The following is a 25,253-nucleotide window of genomic DNA, read 5'->3' on the forward strand; positions in this document are numbered from 1 at the left end:
GTTATTTCTGTCTCTTATGTATTCAACTATAAACATTTAATCAAGTTTATGAGACCTAGATATTTAGCAGAGTTTTGGAGTAAATTATTTTATTAAACAAAGAATATAAAATAAACATTTCTACTTATGTTCCTGTTTTAATTTACCTCATTTATATGCATCTTGATATTGCATTTTCATATTCTAAAAACTATTTTTAAAGACAGGTTGATTCAGAATTACAGTGTACTTGAAAATCATCAGGTACCTATTATTAGTTTTCACCCACATTGAATCTGTGTTTCAGAAACTGTCTACCAAACTTTGTTTATTAAGTAATTATTTTCCCTAGTTTTATTCAAGATATACAAAGCTGCCAACTAGTGCTTTTCATCAGCATCAGGTAAATTGTGTTACTATACTGCGTTGAATTTTAGCAAAGGTAAAGTATTTGCTATTTTAGTTATTGTAGCTTTATTGAAAGCAAACATATAGGTTTTTTAAAGTATTGGAAAACTCGCCAGATTATCATTATATGACTTGGAACCCTAGAAACTCCCAGACCACGAGACTTAATGGTTAATGATCTCTTTCAGTTCTCTTTCAACTTGGAATTCTCTTATTCCAATGCCAACTCATTGCTCTTTTGGAAAGACCCATTCTTTCCTCTATTGTCTTGGTACCTCCTCAGGACATATTCCCCAAAGTGGAAATGTCAGTTTAAGATAATTTTCAGCATTGTGTAGAATAAGAATGGTTAGACAGCTGATGTCAGCAAGATGGTGGAATAGTAGCGCTGTCCTTCAGAAACACCAATTTTGACAACTACCATAGAAAGAATGCCTTTATATTTGAGCATACATGGAACATTCTCCAGGATCAATCATATGTCAGGCCATAAAACAAGTATTAATATATTTAAGAAGATTGAGATAATATCAAGCATCTTTTCTCACCATAATGGCATAAAACTAGCAAGCAAAAATAACAGGAAAACTGGGAAATACTCAAATATGTGAAAATTAAACATGTTCCTGAACAACCAATAGTCAAATAAGAAATCAAAATGGAAATTAAAAAAAAAAAATGTGATACAAATGAACATGGAAACAGCACATCAAGATTTGTGGAATGCAGCAAAACAGTTCCAATAGGAGATTTCATAGTGATAAACACCAACATGAAGGAAACAGTAGGACCCCAGATAAGTAACCTAACTTTACATCTCTCAGAACTAGGTAGAAAAAGAACAAATAAGCCCAAAGTAATAGAAGGAGGGGGATAAGAAAGATCACAGCAGAAATAAATGAAAGACTCAAAAAACAATAGAAAAGAGCAACAAAATGAAGAGTTTTTTTGAAAAGATAAACAAAATTGATAAACTTTTAGCTAGAATAAGAAAAAAAGAAGATTCAAATAAATAAAATCAGGAATGAAAGAGGAGACATTATGACTGATATCACAGAAATACAAAGAATCCTGAGAATACTTTGAACAAATTATATACTAACAAATTGGATGACCTGAAAGAGACAGATTGTTTGCCACATACTACCTGCTAAGACTGAATAGCAGAAGAAATAGAAAATCTGAATGACCAATAACAAATAAGGGACTGAATCAGTAATCAAAAATCTACCAATAGAGAAAAGCCTCAGGACCTGATGGCTTCACTGGTGAATTCTACCAGACATTTGAAGAATACCAATCCTTCTCAAACGTTTTCAAAAATTTGAATAGGAGGAAACACTTCCAAACTCATTTAACAAGGCTAGCATTACCTTGATACCAAAGTCAGGCAAGGGTATCACAAGAAAAGAAGATTATAGGTCAATATCCCTGATGAACATATGTGCAAAAATTGTCAACAAAATATTAGCAACAGCACATTAAAGGGATCATACATCATGATGAAATTGGATTTATCTCTGGGATTCAAGGATGGTTCAACATATGCAAATCTATAAATATACCACTTCAACAGAATGAAGGACAAATTATGTGATCATCTTAATAGATCCAGAAAAAGTGTTTGACAAAACTTAACATTCTTTCATGATGAAAACTCTCAACAAGTTAGGTATAAAAGGAATGTACCTCAACACAACAAAGGTTATACGTGATAAGCCCACAGCTAGCATTATACTCAGTGGGGAAACCTAAAATCTTTTCCTTTAAGATCAGGATCAAGACAAGGATCATTTGTCACTTGCATTCAACATAGTACTGGAAATCTAGCCAGAGATATTAGGCAAGAAAAAGAAATAAAAGACATTTGCTACAGTTTGAATGTTTTCCCCCTCTAAAACTCATGTTGAAACTTAATTCCCAATATGGTAGTATTAAAGATGGGGCCTTTAAGAGGTGATTGAGTCCTGAGGCCTCTGCCTTTATGAATGGATCAATCTATTCATGGATTAATTGGTTTTCCTGAGAGTGGCATCAGTGGCTTTATCCCAAGCTAACATCTTAGCATGCTCAGTTCTCTCACCATGCGATACCCTGCACCACCTCAGGACTCTGAGGACTCACAGCTATTATTCAAAAAGTCAGAAGATAACAGATGTTAGAGAGGATGTGGAGAAAAGGGAACTATTGTTCAATGTTAGTGGGAATGTAAATTGGTATGTCTTTTATGGAAAACAGTATGGAAGCTCCTCAAAAAATTAAAACTAAAACTACCACATGATTCAGCAATCCTACCTTTTGGTAGATATCCACAGGAAATGAAGTCAGTATGTTGAAGAGATACATACACTCCCATGTTCATTGCAGCATTATTCACAGTCGCAAAGATATGGAAACAACCTAAGTGTCTGTCATTAGATGTATAGATAAAATGTGGTACAGATTGTTTTAAACTAATGATTGGTTATATCCTGATAAACCCATTGTAAGTCAAAAATATCTTAAGTTAAAATTGCATTAAGATCATGACAAACCCAGTTGAAAAATCGCAAATTGAACCATTGTAAGTCAAGGACTATCTGTTATATATATTGGAATTTTATTCAGCCTTAAAAAAGGTAGGAAATCCTGCCATTTGCAAGAACACGGATGAACCCGAAGGACATTATGTTGTATTAGTCAGACACAGAAAGACAAATACTGCATGATCTCATTTATATGTAAAATCTTTAAAAAGTCAAATACATACAAACAGTAAAAAGGTGGTTAGCAGGGGTGGGGAGCCTGGGGAGAATGTGGAGATGTTTGTCAAAGGGTACAAACTTTCAGTTATAAAATGAATAAGGGTTAGATGTGGCAGCTCACGCCTATAATCCCAGCACGTTTGGAGACCAAGATAGGAGGATTGCTTTAGGCCAGAGTTAGAGACCAACTTGGGCAACATGGGGAGACCCCCATCTCTACGAAAAATTAAAAAAAATTTTACAGGCGGTGACATGTACTTGTAGTCCCAGCTACTTGGGACTCTGAGGTAGGAGGAGTGCTTGTGCACCCAGGAGGTTGAGGCTGCAGTGAGCTATTATTGTGCCACAGCAATCCAGTCTGGGTGACAGAGTGAGACCCTGTCATGAGACCTGTCTCAAAAACAAAAACAAAAAAAGTAGTAGTTCTGGACACTTAATTTACAGCATGGTTGATTATAGTTAATAATAATGTTTTGTATTCTTGAAATTCACTAAGAGAAATCTTAAGTATCCTTACGACATACACACAGACAAAATGGTGACTATGTGAAGTGATAGATATGTTAATTAGCTTAATTGTAGTGCAGTAGTGCCCCCTTATCCTCAGAGGATATGTTCCAAGACCCTCAGTAGATGCTTGAATCCACAGATAGTACTTAACCCTATATATACTATGTTTTTTCCTATCCTGTACATATATACCTGCATTAAAGTTTAATTTGTAAATTAGCCACAGTAAGAGATTAGTAACAATGACTAAGAAAATAGAACAATTATGACAAGATGCTGTAATAAAAAGTATGTGAATGTAGTCTGTTTCTCTCAAAATAGGTACTCCGCTCACCTGTTTTCAAACCATGGTTGACCATGGGAAACTGAAACTGTGGAAAGTGAAACCGTGGATATGGAATGACTGATGTAATCACTTCTTATTGTATAGATGTATCAAAATATCACATTGAACACCTTAAATATAAACTTTTTCGTTTGTCAATTGTACCTCCATAAAGCTGGAAAAAAATGTGACCTCATTTGTTTGTTGGTGATTTCCTTTTTTGAAACAGCACATGTCATATTTGGTAAAAGGAGTTGATATTGTTAATCCATATAATTGGATCTGAGTTGTAGGAATTAATCTCCTTACTCAATGGTTTTCAACCTTGTTTCCAAGAGTAGTAGATATCAGTTTTGTAGCTATTTTTCAGAAAAGCTAATTAGTAGCCCTTTGAGTATGGTGGCAGTTTTCTTTCCTATATGGTTATACCTTTTTGGATGGATCATTTTTGGGCTTTGAGCTCAATAATCTAAGCAGAGAGCTTGACCAGAAACTTAGTTCTAGGTAGGTTATGTATCATCTGTTCAGAAAATGAGGTCTGTAATGTCGTTCTTTGTGTGTGTGTATGTGTGTGTGTTACCCTTATTGATACTTACCAGTTTGCTATTAATGTGTGAATGGGAGCTGAAGAAACTATAGTGGAACCAACAGTCTTAACTTACACTTTGGTGGTTCAGTTGCTGCTTGTTTCTCTGAGCATATGGAGAAAAAAAAGAAAAAAAAACAAAGAGAGAAAAAGCCACTCTGTAGCTACTGCCACAACTTTTTTTTTTTTTCCTTTTTAGAACTACGCTAGTGTTAGTGCTGGACACTACAAGGCTCTTGGGGTAAAGTAGTGAATTAGATACAATATTTCTGCCTTCAGGATGCTTACATATTCATAGTTGAGATAGGGACAAATGAGCAAGCAAGCAAGTCACAGTTCAGTTAAGAGCTGACAGGTTTATGAACTGAGTTCCATAGGAGTTTTTCAAATTTATTTTAATTTTTCTGATCATATGCTGCATGATCTGTAAGAGTTCTTAAGGGAGGGAGTCCCAGGTGCTCAACTTTTGGGCAGATGGCCAGGTAAATCTGAATTTGCCAGGTACATGTTTTTCTGGAAATAGAATCAACTTTCTTACCCACAAAGGCATTGTGTAACTGGGTGACTGATTCACATGGTGTTCACCCCTGCATGTTGTTTCAAAAATGTGATTGAGTACAAGTAAGGTCAGTTTTTACATTCCTCTTCTTGGCTTTGCCACTCTTGCCTTTTACTTCTGTGCACATCCAAGAATGTCCTTAACACTAGACTGCTGTAAGCTCATATTATACAGGTGAAATTTTCTAGCGTCTTAGCCTGTTATTCCTTCTGTTCCTACGTATCACCTAGGTAAGGAGGAAATCTAGGAGCAAAAGATAAAGGCAGTTCTTCCCCCTATTTCTCTGTAATACCTTCATATTTCATTTAATGTAACCCTACTGCTAATTACTTATTACAGTCTCATGAACTATGCGTAAGGATATATCTTTTGACCCTGAGGTAGAGCACAAAAGCACATGTTTCTTATGACTTATTTTCATCTTTCATATTTCACAAAGTGCAAGCTAGATAGAACATTATTTTTAACTTTTGAAATTGCAACTTAAATTTATGTCAGTTGTGACAGCATACATAGTAGTACTTTTCTGATAGTTCCAGGATGATTTATGTCACCACTTGGTGGAGCTCTTTTATAAGTAAGTGCATTGTTTAAAAAAGCGAGTATAAGTTGTCACTAATTAGGGGTTATCATTAGATTGGTTCAAATGAACTCAACTAAATGATGGTATAATTGGTAATCTCTTCAAGTACTGAGTGTAGATTTTGTTTTAAACTGTAATGTATGTGATTAAAATTTTGATAAAGATTTTTCTCGAGTATTTCTAATTTTTCTCTCTCCTGCTTTATGTAAATGTAGCACTTATTGACTTTTCTCCTATTTTACAATTGTAGATAATTTAAAAAATGTATGCAGGATTAATAAGGAAAATGAAAACTGTTCGTAATCCTACCATGTAGAGATAATCGTGAACATTTTAATATATATTTTCATTTTCTCTTCTTTTTTGTTTTTTCACAAAATTGGAATCAAAATATGTGCAGAACTTTTTATTCTGTTTTTTTCTTAACGTTATATGTTGGGTATTTTTACATATCCCTTTAATATTCCTTGAAACTGTTTTGGGTTTTTATATTATTCTATGATATAGCTCTATCACAATATGTTTAACCATTCTGTTTTAAGATTTTTAGGCTCTTCCTACTATTTTTGCTATTATAAATAACTTTTCAAACATCTATTACACTAAATCTTTTTTTAATTTTTAAGTTTTGTGGGTACATATCAAGTGTACACATTTATGGGACATATGAAATGCCCTGATGCAAGCATGCAGTTCTGTTACTCTAAATCTTGACTCAACTCTATTTTTACTTGTTAAATTCTTAGCTATAAAACTGAGGTATTTTAAGGATTTTTATGTACCTTAACAAAATGTCCTTCAATTGACATTATTCTCAAATATGTTTGTTGAAAATATGTTTGTTGAAAGTACCTTTTTTTTTTTGCAAAGTGCTTGTTCTTTGCCCATTTTCCCCCCATTTTTTGTTCTTTTTTTGGTGTGTGTGGGGGAATTGTTTTGGCTAGGTAAGAATTACTTTTCTTCTGTTTCAACAATTTTTAAAGTGCTATCCTGAGTCCTTTTCATAATTTTCAAGAAAACACATCAGTTACAGATTTTAGGTTGCAAATTGTTGTTGGAAAAGGAGACCTGGACCTTAAAAGAGGAATCAGGCTGGAAAGCAGAATGAGATATGAGAATCATCTGTATATGAGATGATGAGGGCTGTAGGAGTGGATGAGAGTGCTGAGGAAAAAAGAGAATGGTGGGAAAAAAGCCCATGGAGTTGAGAAACCCCATGAAAAAGTTGTGAGAGGAAAAGAGAAGAGAATGAGGATGTGAGGGCATTTAAAAAAGCTACTGAAAAAAGTTGCATGGAGGTATACTGAAGGAGAAAAATTGCAACAGTGTCAGATGCTGCATAGAGGTCTTTCTGGATTTTGCATCCATGTTCATCAGGGACATCAGTCTAAAATTCTCTTTTTTTGTTGTGTCTCTGCCAGGCTTTGGTATCAGGATGATTTTGGCCTCATAAAATGAATTAGGGAGGATTCCCTCTTTTTCTATTGATTGGAATAGTTTCAGAAGGAATGGTACCAGCTCCTCTTTGTACCTCTGGTAGAATTCGGCTGTGAATTCATCTGCTCCTGGACTTCTTTTGGTTGGTAGGATATTAATTACTCCCTCAATTTCAGAACGTGTTATTGGTCTATTCAGGGATTCAACTTCTTCCTGATTTAGTCTTGGGAGGGTGTATGTGTCCAGGAATTTATCCATTTCTTCTAGATTTTCTAGTTTATTTGCGTAGAGGTGTTTATAGTATTCTCTGATGGTAGTTTGTATTTCTGTGGGATCTGTGGTGATATCCCCTTTATCATTTTTTATTGCATCTATTTGATTCTTCTCTCTTTTCTTCTTTATTAGTCTTGCTAGTGGTCTATCAATTTTGTTGATCTTTTCAAAAAGCCAGCTCCTGGATTCATTAATTTTTTGAAGGGTTTTTTGTGTCTCTATTTCCTTCAGTTCTGCTCTGATCTTAGTTATTTCTTGCCTTCTGCTAGCTTTTGAATGTGTTTGCTCTTCTCTAGTTCTTTTAATTGTGATGTTAGGGTGTCAATTTTGGATGTTTCCTGCTTTCTCTTGTGGGCATTTAGTGCTATAAATTTCCCTCTACACACTGCTTTACATGTGTCCCAGAGATTCTGGTATGTTGTGTCTTTGTTCTGATTGGTTTCAAAGAACATCTTTATTTCTGCCTTCATTTCGTTATGTACCCAGTAGTCATTCAGGAGCAGGTTGTTCAGTTTCCATGTAGTTATGCGGTTTTGAGTGAGTTTCTTAATCCTGAGTTCTAGTTTGATTGCACTGTGATCTGAGAGACAGTTTGTTATAATTTCTTTTCTTTTACATTTGCTGAGGAGAGCTTTACTTCCAACTATGTGGTCAATTTTGGAATAAGTGTGATATGCTGAGAAGAATGTATATTCTGTTGATTTTGGATGGAGAGTTCTGTAGATGTCTATTAGGTCCGCTTGGTGCAGAGCTGAGTTCAATTCCTGGATATCCTTGTTAACGTTCTGACTCATTGAACTGTCTAATGTTGACAGTGGGGTGTTAAAGTCTCCCATTATTATTGTGTGAGAGTCTAAGTCTCTTTGTAGGTCTCTAAGGACTTGCTTTATGAATTTGGGTGCTCCTGTATTGGGTGCATATATATTTAGGATAGTTAGTTCTTCTTGTTGAATTGATCCCTTTACCATTATGTAATGGCCTTCTTTGTCTCTTTTGATCTTTGTTGGTTTAACGTCTGTTTTATCAGAGACTAGGATTGCAACCCCTGCCTTTTTTTGTTTTCCATTTGCTTGGTAGATCTTCCTCCATTCCTTTATTTTGAGCCTATGTGTGTCTCTGCACGTGAGATGGATCTCCTGAATACAGCACACTGATGGGTCTTGACTCTTTATCCAATTTGCCAGTCTGTGTCTTTTAATTGGAGCATTTAGCCCATTTACATTTAAGGTTAATATTGTTATGTGTGAATTTGATCCTGTCATTATGATGTTAGCTGGTGATTTTGCTCGTTAGTTGATGCAGTTTCTTCCTAGCCTCGATGGTCTTTACAATTTGGCATGTTTTTGCAGTGGCTGGTACCAGCTGTTCCTTTCCATGTTTAGTGCTTCCTTCAGGAGCTCTTGTAAGGCAGGCCTGGTGGTGACAAAATGTCTCAGCATTTGTTTGCCTGTGAAGGATTTTATTTCTCCTTCACTTATGAAGCCTAGTTTGGCTGGATATGAAATTCTGGGTTGAAAATTCTTTTCTTTAAGAATGTTGAATATTGGCCCCCACTCTCTTCTGGCTTGTAGAGTTTCTGCTGAGAGATCCACTGTTAGTCTGATGGGCTTCGCTTTGTGGGTAACCCTACCTTTCTCTCTGGCTGCCTTAACATTTTTTCCTTCATTTCAACTTTGGTGAATCTGACAATTATGTGTCCTGGAGTTGCTCTTCTCGAGGAGTATCTTTGTGGCATTCTCTGTATTTCCTGAATTTGAATGTTGGCCTGCCTTGCTAGGTTGGGGAAGTTCTCCTGTATAATATCCTGCAGAGTGTTTTCCAACTTGGTTCCATTCTCCCTGTCACTTTCAGGTACACCAATCAGATGTAGATTTGGTCTTTTCACAGAGTCCGGTATTTCTTGTAGGCTTTATTTGTTTCTTTTTACTCTTTTTTCTCTAAACTTCTCTTCTTGCTTCATTTCATTCATTTGATCTTCCATCACTGATACCCTTTCTTCCAGTTGATCGAATCAGCTGCTGAAGCTTGTGCATTCATCACGTAGTTCTCGTGCCATGGTTTTCAGCTCCATCAGGTTATTTAAGGATTTCTCTACACTGGTTATTCTAGTTGGCCAGTTGTCTAATCTTTTTTCAAGGTTTTTAGCTTCTTTATGTTGGGTTAGAACTTCCTTCTTTAGCTCGGAGAAGTTTGATCATCTGAAGCCTTCTTCTTTCAAATCGTCAAAGTCATTCTCCATCCAGCTTTGTTCCGTTGCTAGCGAGGAGCTGCGTTCCTTTGGAGGGGGAGAGGCACTCTGATTTTTAGAATTTTCAGCTTTTCTGCTGTTTTTTCCCCATCTTTGTGGTTTTATCTACCTTTGGTCTTTGATGATGGTGACGTACAGATGGGGGTATGGTGTGGATGTCGTTTCTGTTTGTTAGTTTTCCTTCTAACAGGACCCTCAGCTGCAGGTCTGTTGGAGTTTGCTGGAGGTTGACTCCAGACCCTGTTTGCCTGGGTATCAGCAGTGGAGGCTGCAGAACAGTGAATATTGCTGAACAGCAGATGTTGCTACCTGATCGTTCCTCTGGAAGCTTCGTCTCAGAGGGGTACTCAGCTGCGTGTGGTGTTAGTCTGCCCCTAGTGGGGTGTGCCTCCCAGTTAGGCTACTCAGGGGTCAGGGACCCACTTGAGGAGGCAGTCTGTCCATTCTCAGATCTCAAACTTCATGCTGGGAGAACCACTACGCTCTTCAAAGCTGTCAGACAGGGACATTTAAGTCTGCAGAGGTTTCTGCTGCCTTTTGTTCGGCTATGCCCTGCCCCCAGAGGTGGAATCTACAGAGGCAGGCAGGCCTCCTTGACCTGCGGTGGGCTCCACCCAGTTCAAGCTTCCTGGCCGCTTTGTTTACCTACTCAAGCTTCAGCAATGGCGGGCGCCCCTCTCCTAGCCTCGCTACTGCCTTGCAGTTTGATCTCAGACTGCTGTGCTAGCAATGAGCGAGGCTCCGTGGGTGTGGGACCCTCCGAGCCAGGCACAGGATATAATCTCCTGGTGTGCTGTTTGCTGAGACCATTGGAAAAGCGCAGTATTAGGGTGGGAGTGACCCGATTTTCCAGGTGCCATCTGTCACAGCTTCCCTTGGCTAGGAAAGGGAATTCCGTGACCCCCTGTGCTTCCCAGGTGAGGTGATGCCTCGCCCTGCTTTGGCTCACACTTGGTTGGCTGCACTCACTTTCCTGCACCCACTGTCTGACAAGCCCCAGTGAGATGAACCTGGTACCTCAGTTGGAAATGCAAAAATCACCTGTCTTCTGCATCGCTCACACTGGGAGCTGTAGACTGGAGCTTTTCCTATTCGGCCATCTTCTAGTCTTTAATTTTTCATCTGTATGATGAGAAGTGAATCCAATGACTTTTTTAGATTGAAAAATTTTGAATCAAACTCAACTAAAATGAACAAAATATATGAAACTACAATAATGAAGACGTTATGATATTGGTGAAAAAAGACAAGTAAATCAATGGAACAGAACAGATAATCCAGAAGTAGACCCACATATATATATTATTATAAGTTCATTTTCTACAGAGGTGCGAAGGTAATGGAGGAAGGATATTCTTCTCAACAAATAATGCTGGAGCAATTGGGTATCCAAATGCAGAAAATGAACTTCAATCCTTACCTCACACCATTTATAAAAACTAACCAGAAATGAAGCATAGACCTAAACTTCTAGAAGATGACATAGGAGAAAGTCTTAATGAGCTTGGGTTAGGCAAAGATTTCATAGATACCTACCACTGAAAACATAACCCATAAAAGAAAAAAAATGAATAAATTGAGCTTAATCAAAATTAAAAACTTCTATTCCTTGAAATATACTTCTTATGGAAGTCAAAACACAAGCTGCATCTGAAATAAAGGTTACATTTTGCTCATAGGAAAGTTCTTCAGGTCCTTAAAAATCAGAACCTACTTGTAGAACATTTCACTTATGCATTTTATCATATCAGATGATCCTGTGTTTCATTGTTTTGACTACTAAATGTTCTAATAAAATTCGCTGTTTTAAAAAAATGAATAAACAACATACTAAATTTTAGCAACTTTCGCTTCATTTTTTAATCTTTAAAAGAGAGAGAGAGAAAAAAAAAGGCTGGAATTGATGAAAGGACATATATTGAGAGCAGTTATTGCCTGAGTGCAAAGAAACAAACCAAAATGGTAAGAAATAAGCATAAAAATTTAAAGACTATGGTAGTTGGGGTTATTTATTAAAGAGACAAACAACCTTTGACATCTTATTAGTTCCCAAGAAATTGACCATATTAACATAAACACAAATACAGAAGTTGATTTTTGTTCATTTTATTAAAATATATATTTTTAATTAGTCTTGAAAACAGTGAAGCAGTGTATACTTTGTATCTTCAATTTCAGAAACAGTAAGTATGTAACATAGTTTCAAAATCAGATTTATTGAGGTATAATTTACATACACAAAATATGCCAATTTTAAGTGCACAGTTCAATACGTTTTAACAGACATATTCACTCATATAATCACCACCATTAAGATATAGAACTTTTTGATCACTCCAGAAAGTTCTTTCATTCCCCTTTGCAGTCATTTCCCAACACCTCCCCTCTGTTCCGCAGGCAACTACAGATCTACTTTTTGACTTTAAAGATTGGTTTTGCCTTTTCTAGAATTTCATATGAAAGGAATTATTCAATGCATCCTTTTGAGTCTGGCTTTTTCTCAGTGTAATAATTTTGAGATTTATCTATATTGTTATATATATTAGGACATTTCCTTTTGATTTTCAAATAACATTCCATTGTAGGGATATACCCCAATTTATTTTTCCATGCACTTCTTTTTTTTTTATATTTGGGTTGTTTGTAGTTTTTGGCCATTATGACTGAAGCTGCTATGAACATTCACATATAATGTTTTCATTTCTCTTGGGTATGAATATCTGGGAGTAGAATTGCTATGTGTTATGAAAAGTGCATATTTAACTTTATAAGAACTTCCAAACTTGTTTTCCAAAATGATTGTGCCATTTTACATTTTCACCAGTGATGTTTAAGTGTTCCATTGCACTACATCCTCACTGACCCTTGATATTGTCAGTCTTTTACATTTTAGCTATTCTAGTGGGTGTATAATTGTAATTTAAGTTGTAAAATATTTACATCCCAAGTAGCTAAAATTAAGAAAAAGTTTAGAGTTGGATGGTGGTAAACCTTTAATTACCTGTAAAATTTGGTAATCTGGAACAACTCACTTATCCTAAAGCTTTTATATAATTGATATTTCAAAATAATGTAAGATGGTATTACATGCTTTTTAGCTCTATTGTAATCTCCAGTTAAGAGTAAGTAAATAGTTCCAACTATTTAATGAACATTAATTTGACATTTCTTTTGTTTCCAACTTAATGTAATCCAAAATTACCCATAAAATGTAATATTTAGGGGTGGTATATATTGTGGGGAAAAATGTGTTCTAAAGATAATGAAAAAGTACTCTAGTGATAATGATAGCCATCAATCATTAAGAACTGACTGTATACTATATACTACGCCAAAGGCTTTATAAATATAATTTCATTTAATTGTTACAAAATGGGGTACATATTCTTATTTTGATTTTACAAAGACAGTTAAGGAACTGAAACATGAAATACAAGGTTAAAAATAATTGAATAAATAAATTGATAAAAGGAATGAATGAATAGAGCAAGGAAAGAATAAGCGAATAAGAACGTGGGCTTGTTTTTTTCAAACAAATTATATGTTATGGACTCTAGATCTCTTAACTTAGCTTCAGTGACATTGGATTATTGAAAAATGAAACTATTTTGAGGAATTGACTGACCCCTAAAGTTTCCACAATAACTTATTTAATTTTTTATCTTTCTAATACTTTTTTGCCTTATAATATAAAATTTGAATGTTTGTTATTAGTGTGAAATGAAATCCTTTCAAATATATGCCATCAGAAGGATGTGTTACAAATATACAGTATTACAAACATTTATTTTGTATGCTGAATAAGAAAAAATCAGTTATAATACAGTTTTAACATAGTATCCAGTGTGTGAATTATTTAATGAAATATTTGATCTTTATTTTTTGTTCCCAGGGAGGTTATATTCAAAAGAAAAAGGAACTGTGGGGAATCTGTATCTTTATTGCAGCAGTTGACCTAGATGAGATGTCGTTCACTTTTACTGAGCTACAGAAAAACATAGAAATCAGGTAAAGTTTCTTGTATAAATATAAGCCTCTGCCATAAAAGGAAACGAATTCTGGATTTTCCTCTCAATAGACTTTTGTGAATTAGTGAGAAATGCTAAAATAAAGTAAAACAAAAAGAACTTGGACCAAATAGTGAACTGCCATTCTCTCATGGAGCCGTTATGAAAGTGTATTTATGCTGTATTTCTTTAAGAGGTAGCAGTTTGTGTCCTGGAAAAATTTTCATTGTGTCTCTCACTATTCATGTGTAAGCTTTCTTAATTGTGGCTGTTAATAAAGTGAACAGAAAAGCAAGGATTTGTAAATAGGCTTGTTTTATATTAAAACCTTTATATAAGTAGTTTGAGTTTATCTTAAAGGTATTTAGGTAAGATTTATTAAAGCCTAAGATTGTTTTAACTAGAGGATATTATAACTAAATGCTTTTTTTCAGATTATATATTGATTTGAACATGCTACAATACTTGAACCAGTTAATTACTTAATAGGTGTTTGTTGTTGAGTTTATAAGCCTCATAAGAAGAGTTTATTAATGTGTTTTCAATAATGTATGAACTTTATCTTCAGAAAGTATCCAGGACTTCCAGTCATTTTCTTTGCAACATATTTACAAAAATGCAACAGTATGTATTTTTACCAAATAGGTAATTATGTTTCTCCTTGAACAAAGACATCTAGAATTAAACATAATTGATATTTTATTTAAACGAGATAGATTAAATTGTTGCATTTTTGAAATACTTTTTTTGCTATATCTAAATAAAATGTGGAAACAAAGGCCTTGTATATTTGTAAATATACAAAATAATAGAAATGACATAAATAGTTCATAGAGTCAATACCTGCAACACCACAGGCACTCACTGCTTCTCTCCCTTCCTTGTTTTCTTCCCTTAAGTTTCCCCTAGAAAAAAGGCTTTGTTGTAACAATTCAGTTTTCATGGTAATCTCAGGACAGGTATTGCCATATACCTCAAAAAAACTGGAACTGAGAGTAGTTCTTTAATAAATGCTATTCTGAGGCTGATTTCTTTTTCTTTGGATATATCTGCACTTTTGTTCCTTTCTCTTTTCTCTTCTAATCAACATTCTGATCTTCTATTCTTTGTCATTTCTACTCTTTCTTTATTTGCTTTTTCACATAGCTTGTCATGGCTCCCCCATTCCTTTCTGTATCATAGGAACTTTAATAACCTTTTGGTTCCCCTGCTGATTAGCTGAAGCTTTTATTTCCCCAGTGTTTGATTGGTCCAGCCCATTTTTTTGAGTGAGGGCTATAACTCATTGGTTGCTGGACAGCCTATGGATGGGTCAGGTGACTATCTTTTGTTTCAGTTAGCTGCTTTGGTATAATTCCTTATACAAAATTCATGATTAGAAATTAGCATGTGAGATGTAGTTGATGATTGCTATCTTTAATATCCTATTGGAAAATGTATATATTGATGTTTCAAATACGTTAATTTTTATGGAAAAGAGTAACGAAGAGTGATTTAAAGTTATTATTTAAACTGCTTAAATTATTTAAATCAACTTTCCTTTTCCAAAAATAATTCAATTCTAAAATCATTGGTGGGGCAAATAAAGTATGCATTTTGGTGTGTATCTCTGACAGGAGGGTGCCACAGGGCCCAGAGCAGGATGTTAGAGTCAAAGTAGGGTGAGGAGGGCATCCTTTGTGTGGGGGCAACCTGATGGGGCTGCTTTGTGTGCAGTGTCAGAGACTAAGCAGGGTGTGCAGGCAGCCGGTGCACAAGTGAGGTGAGGAGGGCAGCCTGCTGTGGGGAGTCAGAACCCTTCCACAGTGAGGAAGTGTCTATGCTAAGGGGTGGGGTAAGTCCAGAACTGGGAGTCAGTTCTGAGAAGAACAGAAAAGTGTCCACACGGGGGAGGGGGTGGCTTTGGAGATAGAAAATGGTTACTTACAGGGGGATTGATTAAATGAGTAAGTAAACTGAGGATGAATGGGTTCCAGGTTTCCCACTGTCAATGAAGAGTTACAAATATAGAAAGGGAAACACTAAAATGAAGCATATGGTTTTATATTGGAATTGGATGAATGGATGTGAACTCATGTTTTTTAAAACACATAGACAGATACAGAATAAATATACGCATATCTCTTCTTGACCCTTCGTTTTCTTATATTCTCAATGATGAATAGATATAAGCATAGGTATATAGATAATAGAGGTGTAAGTTGAAGGCTAATTATTTTTGCAAAAAGTAATTCCTTCCAAAGGATATAGTAGTGATTTGATGTAGAGCTGATAATCTTTTGAATTGAAATATCTATGATTTGAAAACGAAATAACACAAATTTTTAAGGTTACTGATTTACTTTTTTCTATTCTTTCCTTTGTAGTGTCCATAAATTCTTTAACTTACTAAAAGAAATTGATACCAGTACCAAAGTTGATAATGCTATGTCAAGACTGTTGAAGAAGTATGATGTATTGTTTGCACTCTTCAGCAAATTGGAAAGGTAAAGTAAACATTTTATTAGGTTTACACTCTGATTTTTTATGTCATTGTTCACAATTAGATTCTGGGAATTATTTAACACATTTAGTAAAGTTAGTAAGTATTAATTCTTAGACTTGTCCCTTTTAATGTTAGCTCATTAATTCTTAGCTTTCTTATTTATCCAGTAATATGCATTCTGAATGCTTCCTGGAAAATTAACCGTTTTATTATCCTTTCATGTCTTCCATTTGTTTTCAAAAACTTTAAGCTTATCTCCCATTTTAGCCTTCTTTGCCAGAAAACTTCTAGTTCTGAATAGAATGGTGACATAAATTTAAACTTCTTCCTAATAGTGTTATTTAGTTTGGAACGAGAAAACACTTGCAATGGATGGTGTATGTGACCTATACTATAAAGTAATGATTTGTACTCCCAATGGTGGCTTAGAGGACTTTTTCCATTACAGTTCGAGTAGGAGCATAATTAATATGCTTAGGTTAAGTTTTTTCTATACTTTTCATCAAAACTGTACTTCCCTACCCCAAATGTTTCAGCCCTTAATTTGGCATATGTCTGTTATCATGTTTGTTTTGAGGCTCATTTCATTTGCGGTTAAGAGAATATGAAAGTTACAGTGTTAGCTAAATAAGCAATTGTGTAATAGCATGGTAAAGGGAGAAGGGTAAAAGAGGCATGGCCCTATTCTGGAGAGAATGAGGATGGAGATAGAGGTGGAAAGAAGCATCTCCTTAGGAGGATGGCTCTATTTTCTCCCCCTTTTTCTTTTTTGACCACTAAAACTTCACAACTGTGGTGGAGGATGAGAAAAATTAGAGAAAAAACTCAAAGGCCTAGGGCTTTTGAAGGACTGTCTTTTCTTGCCCCTGGTTTTAATTGTAATATGGTAGCATTGGCCATCTTTTTTTTTTTTTTTTTTTGGTCTTTTCTTGATGAGAATAGAAGCTTTTTGCACAAGAAAAAGGGAAATTTTTAATTATTAATGGAGATAAATTATCTAAATAATTTGCATAACAAACATGAACTAATTATAGAATACTTGGAAAACACAGAAAGGCATAAATAAAATATGAATCGACCAAAATGTCAACAGTGGAGAGAATCACTTTTCATATTTTAGAATGTTTCTTTCCTTTGGGTATTGTTTCACATTGAGTAGAATATTATATATATGTGTGTGTGTGTGTGTGTGTGTGTGTGTGTGTGTGTGTGTGTGGCTTTTAAAATTTACCTAATTGTGACTTTCTAAATTTTTTTCTATTCTTTAAACTTGTTTACAACCTTTTTAATTCATATCTGGTAGCTTATTTTAATATGATCCTAAATACAATGTTGCTTTAGAGTTTTTTTGGTACAATATTATTTAGGCCCCTGAAAAACTGGAAACAACTGATATTCACAGCTGAAGTTAAACAATACATATTAAACATATCTAAACATAAAATGTTATAAATATAAAATAAAATGTGATAAAGAATAATGGCAATATTGGCAAGTGCTTCTAATGTTAAACAAATGAAGCAGGATATACTCTGATTATGACTGTGTGTAAGGAAGAAACCTAGACCACTAACGCATAGAATGAAATGACTGGAGAGAAGTTTACCACAATGTTAACCCAAGTTTTATATGAGTAACTTACATTTGTAAGGAGGATGTATTACCTTTCTAGTAAACAAAGCAAGCAAAAACTTCTTTAAGCCAACTTTAATGAGTATTCTATACATATAAGTACTTTAAGATCTATAATCATCAGGGTTTTTTTTTTTCTAGATATAGAATTTGGGGACTCATTGGTAGGAGTGATTTGGGGTACAGTTCTGATTTTTTTTCCTGCTATAGTAATTTCGACTGGATGCTTCCAAGTTGTTTGCTCTGCTGTCTGAGATAAGGAATCTGCTTGGATATTTGTTTCTGTTGTAAGAAGCAGGAATTACATAGTGGACAAAGCATTACATTGTATATGTTTAAGGGTGAAGGGTAACTATAGTGGTGATTTTGGTCAGAGAAAAAACCATAGAAGGCAATGTCCGAATAGGGTTTACAGGAAAAATAGAAATTCACCAAGCAAAATGAGTGGGAACTGGGAGCGAGCATCTTAGAGATTAGCATGTGTACAAAGCCAAAGCAGTGATATCAGGATGTACTTTGATATTGCTAATGGCTGAAAGGTAAGAAGGGATCAGATTGGTAGTAATCTTGGGCTTTGCCCTGCAGGCAGTGGAAACTCCTTGAATGATTTTAAACTAGGGAGTAACAGTTGGATTTGGCCTCAAAAGACCACTCAGGACTTTGTAAAAGGGATTTAAAATTTTTATTGACAAATCATATGAGATAATTTAAAGAGTAAACTTTACTAACCTTAGGTGGATCAGCTGGGTGTTTTCTATCTTATTTATACCTTTTTTTTGAAGACTAATTGAGAGGATTAACTGTAATTATATATTAAAGTGATGTGAGATGTCATAAATTGGGAAAATCTACTTGAACTTTGTTTTATAATGCTATATATTTTTTGTTTTTAAAATATATACTTCTTAAAAGAAGATAAATAAAGCATGAGAAAACTACTATGACTTCTAAATTACGAAAAAATGTTAAAAAGTCATAATGTTTTTCTTTTCAGGACATGTGAACTTATATATTTGACACAACCCAGCAGTTCGTAAGTAGTTCACAGAATGTTATTTTTCACTTAAAAAAAAAGATTTTTATGGAATAATCTCAAACATCTTGATAGTTAGGGTTAGTTTGATCGATTATAGCAGGCTACTTCATAAATTAAGCCCATAGATTTAAGTCCTGTGTAGATTATTTATCTTCTCACAAAGAAAATAGTATAAAATACATGCCTTGTACTACAAAGAAGAACTAATAAGGTGGAATTGATTCAGGACAGCATATCACCAACTCTGAGAAAAATGCAACAAATGCAAATTCATTGACTAAATCTTTATTGAGGGTCTGTTACAGGCACTTTATTAACTAATAATCAGCATAATTTCTGTGTGAGAATAAATGTAAAAATCTGTATTAAAATTTCCAAATGATTATTTTAAATGTATAATGCATGCTCTAACAGTATGCCCATGTAGAGCTCCAGAGTTTTTTCTTGGAAACAGAATGAGTAGTACATGAGATTTTCTGCCTCATTGGAGTAGTATTGAAGATAATTAATATAAAGGGAAATTGTATATTTACTGATTAATTGATATCAATCTATTAATTCCAACAAGTGAATGTCTCTGGAAAGATTATCAAGGCAAAGTGTTAAATTGGCAAACTAAAGTCATCCAAACCTTCATTTTTCTGCTCACAGTGTTGATAATTAATCAGAAAAAAGAGCAAAAAATATTAAGGTAATTTGAAACAAAGTATGTTATAACATACTATGTTTTTTATATATTTTTATATTAGAATTGAAATATTCAGTATTTCTTTTACAAAATTTTTCTTTCAAAATGTATACTTTTTTTTCTTAATTTTTTTTTTTGCAGCTTCTCATGGTCAAGAATGTATACTATTCTGTGGGCTAAATATCATATCTTAGAATTATAAGACATAGAAACATTAAATGAATAGAGATAAACTCAGGTGTAAATTATGCAATTAAAATGGACTGCATTCTATTATGCATTTAACTAAGGTCATTTTTTTTTTAATGCACAAAAAGAAACACCCAAAAGATATATCTGGAAAACTTTCTTTCAGTGATACATTTTTCCTGTTTTTTTTCTGCTTTCTATTTGTTTAATAGGATATCTACTGAAATAAATTCTGCATTGGTGCTAAAAGTTTCTTGGATCACATTTTTATTAGCTAAAGGTAAGTTCATTATATTTATTAAATGCTAATATTTCAAATGTAATAATTAAATTGGCATTCCTTTGGACTAAATTCCCCAATTTTTATTGAGTAATGTACTCCTCCCTCATTCTCTGCTTGGCTTATTAACTGTTAGCAAGTTCCTATAATTCTGGTACTAGAAACAACCTTGGAAATGCTTTATTTAATTTTTGTTTCTAATATTCCATCTTCCCTCCCTTTCTTTTTTTTGAAGAATAATGATGTTACTGTTTTCATAAAAATGATATTTGCTCATGATAAATAATTCAAATAAAATAATTTTGGTCACAAAAGCACAAAGAAAAATTATCTAAAATCCACCCAGGGATAATCGGCATTAAAATTACATAATTGGGATGCAGTTAAGGTATAGAATTTTTATTATTTTTGTTTGTTTATGCAAACAGTGTTAACTTGTTATCAGTTGAAATAATGGGTTATAAGATAGTATTTGCAAGCCTCATAGTAACCTCAAACCAAAAAACATACAATGTAGACATGAAAAATAAAAAGCAAGAAACTAAAGCATATCATCAGAGAAAACTACTTTCACTAAAGGAAGACAGAAAGGAAAGAAAGAAGGAAGAGAAGACCACAAAACAACCAGAAAACAAATAACAAAATGACATGAGTAAGTCCTTACTTACCAATAATAACGTTGAACATAAATGGACTAAAGTCTCTAATTAAAAGACACAGACTGGTTGAATGATGGAAAAACAAGACTCATTTGATCTGTTTCCTACAAGAAACACACTTTGCCTATAAAGACACATACCGACTGAAAATAAAGGGATGGAAAAATATATTCCATGCCCACAGAAACCAAAATAAGAGCAGGGGTCACTATACTTATATCAGACAAAATAGATTTCAAGAACAAAACTGTAAGGACAAAGAAGGTCATTATATAATGATAAAGGGGTCAATTCAGCAAGAGGATATAACAGTGTTAAATATTTATGCAACTAATACTGGAGCACCCAGATATATAAAGCAAATATTATTAGAGCTAAAGAGAGACATAGGCCCCAATACAATAGAAATAGCTGGAGACTTCAACACCCCACTTTCAGCATTGGACAGATCTTCCAGACAGAAAATCAACAAAGAAACATCAGACTTAATCTGCACTATATAGACCATATGAATCTAATAGATATTTACAGAACATTTCATCCAAGAATATACATTCTTCTTGTCTGCATATTGATCATTCTCAAGGATAGACCATGTGTTAGGCTTAAAACATTAAAAAAGCATGAAATAATATCAAGCATATTCTCTGATCACAATAGAATAAAACTAGAAATTAATAACAAGGTATTTTGGAAACTGTACAGATACATGGAAATTAAACAATATGCTCCTGAATGGCCATGGGTCAATGAAGAAATTAAGAGGGAAATTAAAAAAATTTTTGAAACAAATAATGGAAACATAACAAACCAAAACCTATGGGATACAGTAAAAGCAGTACAGAGGGAAGTTTATAGCTGTAAGTGCCTACATCCCAAAAGAGGAAAACATCTTTTTTTAAAAAAACTTTTAGGTTCAGGGGTACATGTGATGGTTTGTTACATAGGTAAACTTGTGTCACAGGGGTTTGTTGTACAGCTTACTTCATCACCCAGGAATTAAGCCCAGTATCCAATAGCTATTTTTTCTGTTCCTCTCCCTCTTCCCACTTTCCACCTTCAAGTAGACCCCAGTGCCTGTTGTTTCCATCTTTGTGTTCTTCAGTTTTCATCATTTAGCTCCCACTTATAAGTGAGGCCATGCAGTATTTAGTTTTTTATTCCTGCATTAGTTTGCTAAGGATAATAGCCTCCAGCTCCATCCATGTTCCTGTGAAGGACATGATCTCATTCTTTTTTATGGGCTGCATAGAATTCCATGGTATATATGTACCACATTTTCTTTATCCATTCTGTCATTGATGAGCATTTAGGTTGATGCCATGTCTTTGCTTTTGTGGATAGTGCTGCAGTGAACATTCACGTGCTTTTGTCTTTATGGTAGAATGATTTCTATTCCTTTGAGTATGTACTCAGTAATGGGATTGCTGGGTCCAAGGGTAGTTCTGCTTTTAGCTCTTTGCGGAATTGTCAGACTGCTTTCTACAATGTTTGAACTAATTTACACTCCCAACCAAGAGTGTATAAGTGTTCTCTTTTCTTTTGCAACCTCACCAGTATCTGTTATTTTTTGACTTTATAGTAACAGCTATTCTGACTGGTGTGAGATGATATCTCATTGTGGTTTTGATTTGCATTTCTCTAATGATCAGTGATATGGAGCTTTTTTTTCATATGCTTATTGGCTGCATGTATGTCTTCTTTTGAAAAGTGTCTGTTCATGTGCCTTGCCCACTTTTTAGTGGGGTTGGTTTTTTTTCTCTTGCAAATTTGTCTAAATTCCTTATAAATGCTGGATATTAAACCTTTGTCAGATGCATAGTTTGCAAAATTTTTCCCCATTCTGTAGGTTGTTCATTTACTCTGTTGATTGTTTCTTTTGCTGTGCAGAAGCTCTTGAGTTTAATTCAATCCCACTTGTCAATTTTTGATTTTGTTGTGATTGCTTTTGGTGTCTTTATCATGAAGACTTTGCCTGTTCCTATGTCTAGGATCTATTTTTTTTTTTTGAGACAGAGTCTCACTCTGTCACCCAGGCTGGAGTGCAGTGGCACAATCTCGGCTCACTGCAACCTCTGCCTCCCGGGTTTAAGTGATTATCTTGCCTCAGCCTCCTGAGTAACTGGGACTACAGGTGTGCACCACCATGCCCGGCTAATTTTTGTATTTTTACTAGAGATGGGGTTTTACTATGTTGGCCAGGCTGGTCTTGAACTCCCTACCTCAGGTGATCCATGCACCTCAGCCTCCCAAAGTGCTGGGATTACAGGAATGAGCCACCACACCTGGCCTGGCCATCTTCAATCCATCTTGAGTTGATTTTTGTATATGGTGTAAGGAATGGGTCCAGCTTCAATCTTCTGCATATGGCTAGCCACTTATCCTAGCACCAGTTAATGAAATGGGAGTCTTTTCCCCATTGCTTGCTTTTGTCAGCTTTGTCAAAAAGATCAGCTGGTCCTAGGTGTGCAACCTTATTTCTGGGTGCTCTATTCTGTTCCATTGGTTTACATTATTCTGAAAAAAATGTGCCTGTTTTTGTACCAGTAACATGCTGTTTTGGTTACTGTAGCCCTGTAGTATAGTCTGAAGTTGGATAATGTGATGCCTCCAGCTTTGTTCTTTTTGCTTAGGATTGCCTTGGCTATTCAGGCTCTTTTTTGGTTCCAGTTGAATTTTAAAATAGTTTTTTTTTTTTTATTTCTGTGAAGAATGTCATTGGTAGTTTGATAGGAATAGCCTTGAATCTGTAATTTTTTTGGGGCAGTATGGCCATTTTAATGATATTTATTCTTCCTATCCATGAGCATGGGATGTTTTTCCATGTGTTTGTGTCATCTCTGATTGCTTTGAGCAGTGTTTTGAAATTCTTGTTGTAGAGAGCTTTCACCTCCCTGGTTAGTTGTATTCCTATGTATTCTTTTTGTGGCAATTTTTAATGGGATTGCCTTTCTGATTTGGCTCTCAGCTTGGCTCTTGTTGGTGTGTAGAACTACTAGTGATTTTTATACATTGATTTTGTATCCTGAAACTTTGCTGAAGTTGTTGATCAGCTGAAGGAGCTTTTTGGCTCTAAGACTACAGGGTTTTCTAGATATAGCATCATGTCATCTGCCACAGAGATAGTTTGACTCCCTCTCTTCCTATTTGGATGCCCTTCATTTCTTTCTCTCACCTGATTCCTCTGATTAGGACTTCCAATACTTTGTTGAATAGGAGTGGTGAAAAAGGGCATCCTTGTCTTGTGCCAGTTTTCAAAGGGAATGCTTCAAGCTTCTGCACATTCAGTATGATGTTGGCTGTGGGTTAGTTATAGGTGAAAAAAAGAGGAAAAACTCAAATAAACAATCTAACATTGTATCTTAAAGAAGTACAAAAATAAGAGCAAATCAAACCCAAAATTAGTAGAAGAAAAGAAAGATCGAGCAGAAATAAATGAAATTGCAATGAAAAAATTGCAAAAGATCAATGAAACAAAGTGTTTTTTTAAAAAGTTAAACAAAATTGACAAGCCTTTAGCTAGATTAACTAAGGAAAAAAGAGAGAAGATACAAATAAGATCAGAAATGAAAAAGGAGACATTACAGCTGATACTGCAGAAACTAAAAGTATCATTAGTGGCTTCTATAAGCAACTATATGCCAATAAACTGGAAAATATAGAAGAAATGGGCAAATTCCTAGACATGTACAACTTACCAAGATTGAACCAGGAAGAAATCCAAAACCTGAACAGACCAATAACAAGTAATGAGATTGAAGCCATAATAAAGTCTCCTAGTAAAGAAAAGCCTGGGACCTGATGGCTTCACTGCTGAATTGTACCAAACATTTAAAGAAGAACTAATACCAATCCTACTTACAGTATTCTGGAAAATAGACTAGGAAGAAATACTTCTAAACTCATTCTACAAGGCCTGTATTACCCTGATACCAAAACCAGATAAAGACCCATTAAAAAAAGAAAACTATAGGCCAGTATTTCTGAGGAATATTGATACAGAAATCTTCAACAAAACACTAGCAAACTGAATTCAATAATACATTAGATAGATCATTCATTATGTCGCAGTGGGATTTATCCCTGCAATGCAAGGATGGTTCAACATAAACAAATCAATGTGGTATGTCATATCAACAGAATGAAGGACAAAAATCATATGATCATTTAAATTGATGCTGAAAAAGCATTTGATAAAATTCAGCATCCTTCATGCCCAAAACCCTAAAAAACCTGAGGATAGAAGGAACATACCTTAACGTAATAAAAGCCATATATAACAGACCCACAGCTAGTATAATACTTAATGGGGAAAAATTGAAAGCCTTTCCTCTAAGATCTAGAACATGATGAGGATGTCCATTGTCATCACTGTTATTCAGCATAGTACTGGAAGTCCTAGATAGAGTAGTCAGACAAAAGATATAAAGGGAATCCAGATTGGAAAGAAAGAAGTCAAGTTATCCTTGTTTGCAGCTGATACAATCTTATATTTGGAAGAACCTAAAGACTCCACAAGAAAACTATTAGAACTAATAAACATGTTCAGTAAAGTTGAAGGATAGAAAATCAACATACAAAAATCAGTAATGTTTCTGTATGCCAACAGTGAATAATGTGAAAAA

General features: G+C 34.6%; 1 protein-coding gene across 4 annotated transcripts in view; it reads left to right on the plus strand.

Annotated features, from left to right (window-relative positions):
• The window catches only part of RB1 (RB transcriptional corepressor 1), a 178,140-nt gene that overhangs the window by 25,304 nt on the left and 127,583 nt on the right, over positions 1 to 25,253 (plus strand). For 3 of the 4 annotated variants that reach the window (NM_001407165.1, NM_000321.3, NM_001407166.1), the window contains exons 3-6: positions 13,545 to 13,660; positions 16,026 to 16,145; positions 18,771 to 18,809; positions 19,902 to 19,969. In NM_001407165.1, coding sequence (NP_001394094.1) covers positions 13,545 to 13,660; positions 16,026 to 16,145; positions 18,771 to 18,809; positions 19,902 to 19,969 — 343 coding nt within the window. Of the gene's footprint in view, positions 1 to 3,962; positions 5,859 to 13,544; positions 13,661 to 16,025; positions 16,146 to 18,770; positions 18,810 to 19,901; positions 19,970 to 25,253 lie in introns of those variants that run through there. The other variant, NM_001407167.1, reaches the window with a different exon arrangement.

The sequence above is a fragment of the Homo sapiens genome, chromosome 13 (assembly GCF_000001405.40).
Source record: "Homo sapiens chromosome 13, GRCh38.p14 Primary Assembly".
In the NCBI taxonomy this organism is placed as follows: domain Eukaryota; kingdom Metazoa; phylum Chordata; class Mammalia; order Primates; family Hominidae; genus Homo; species Homo sapiens.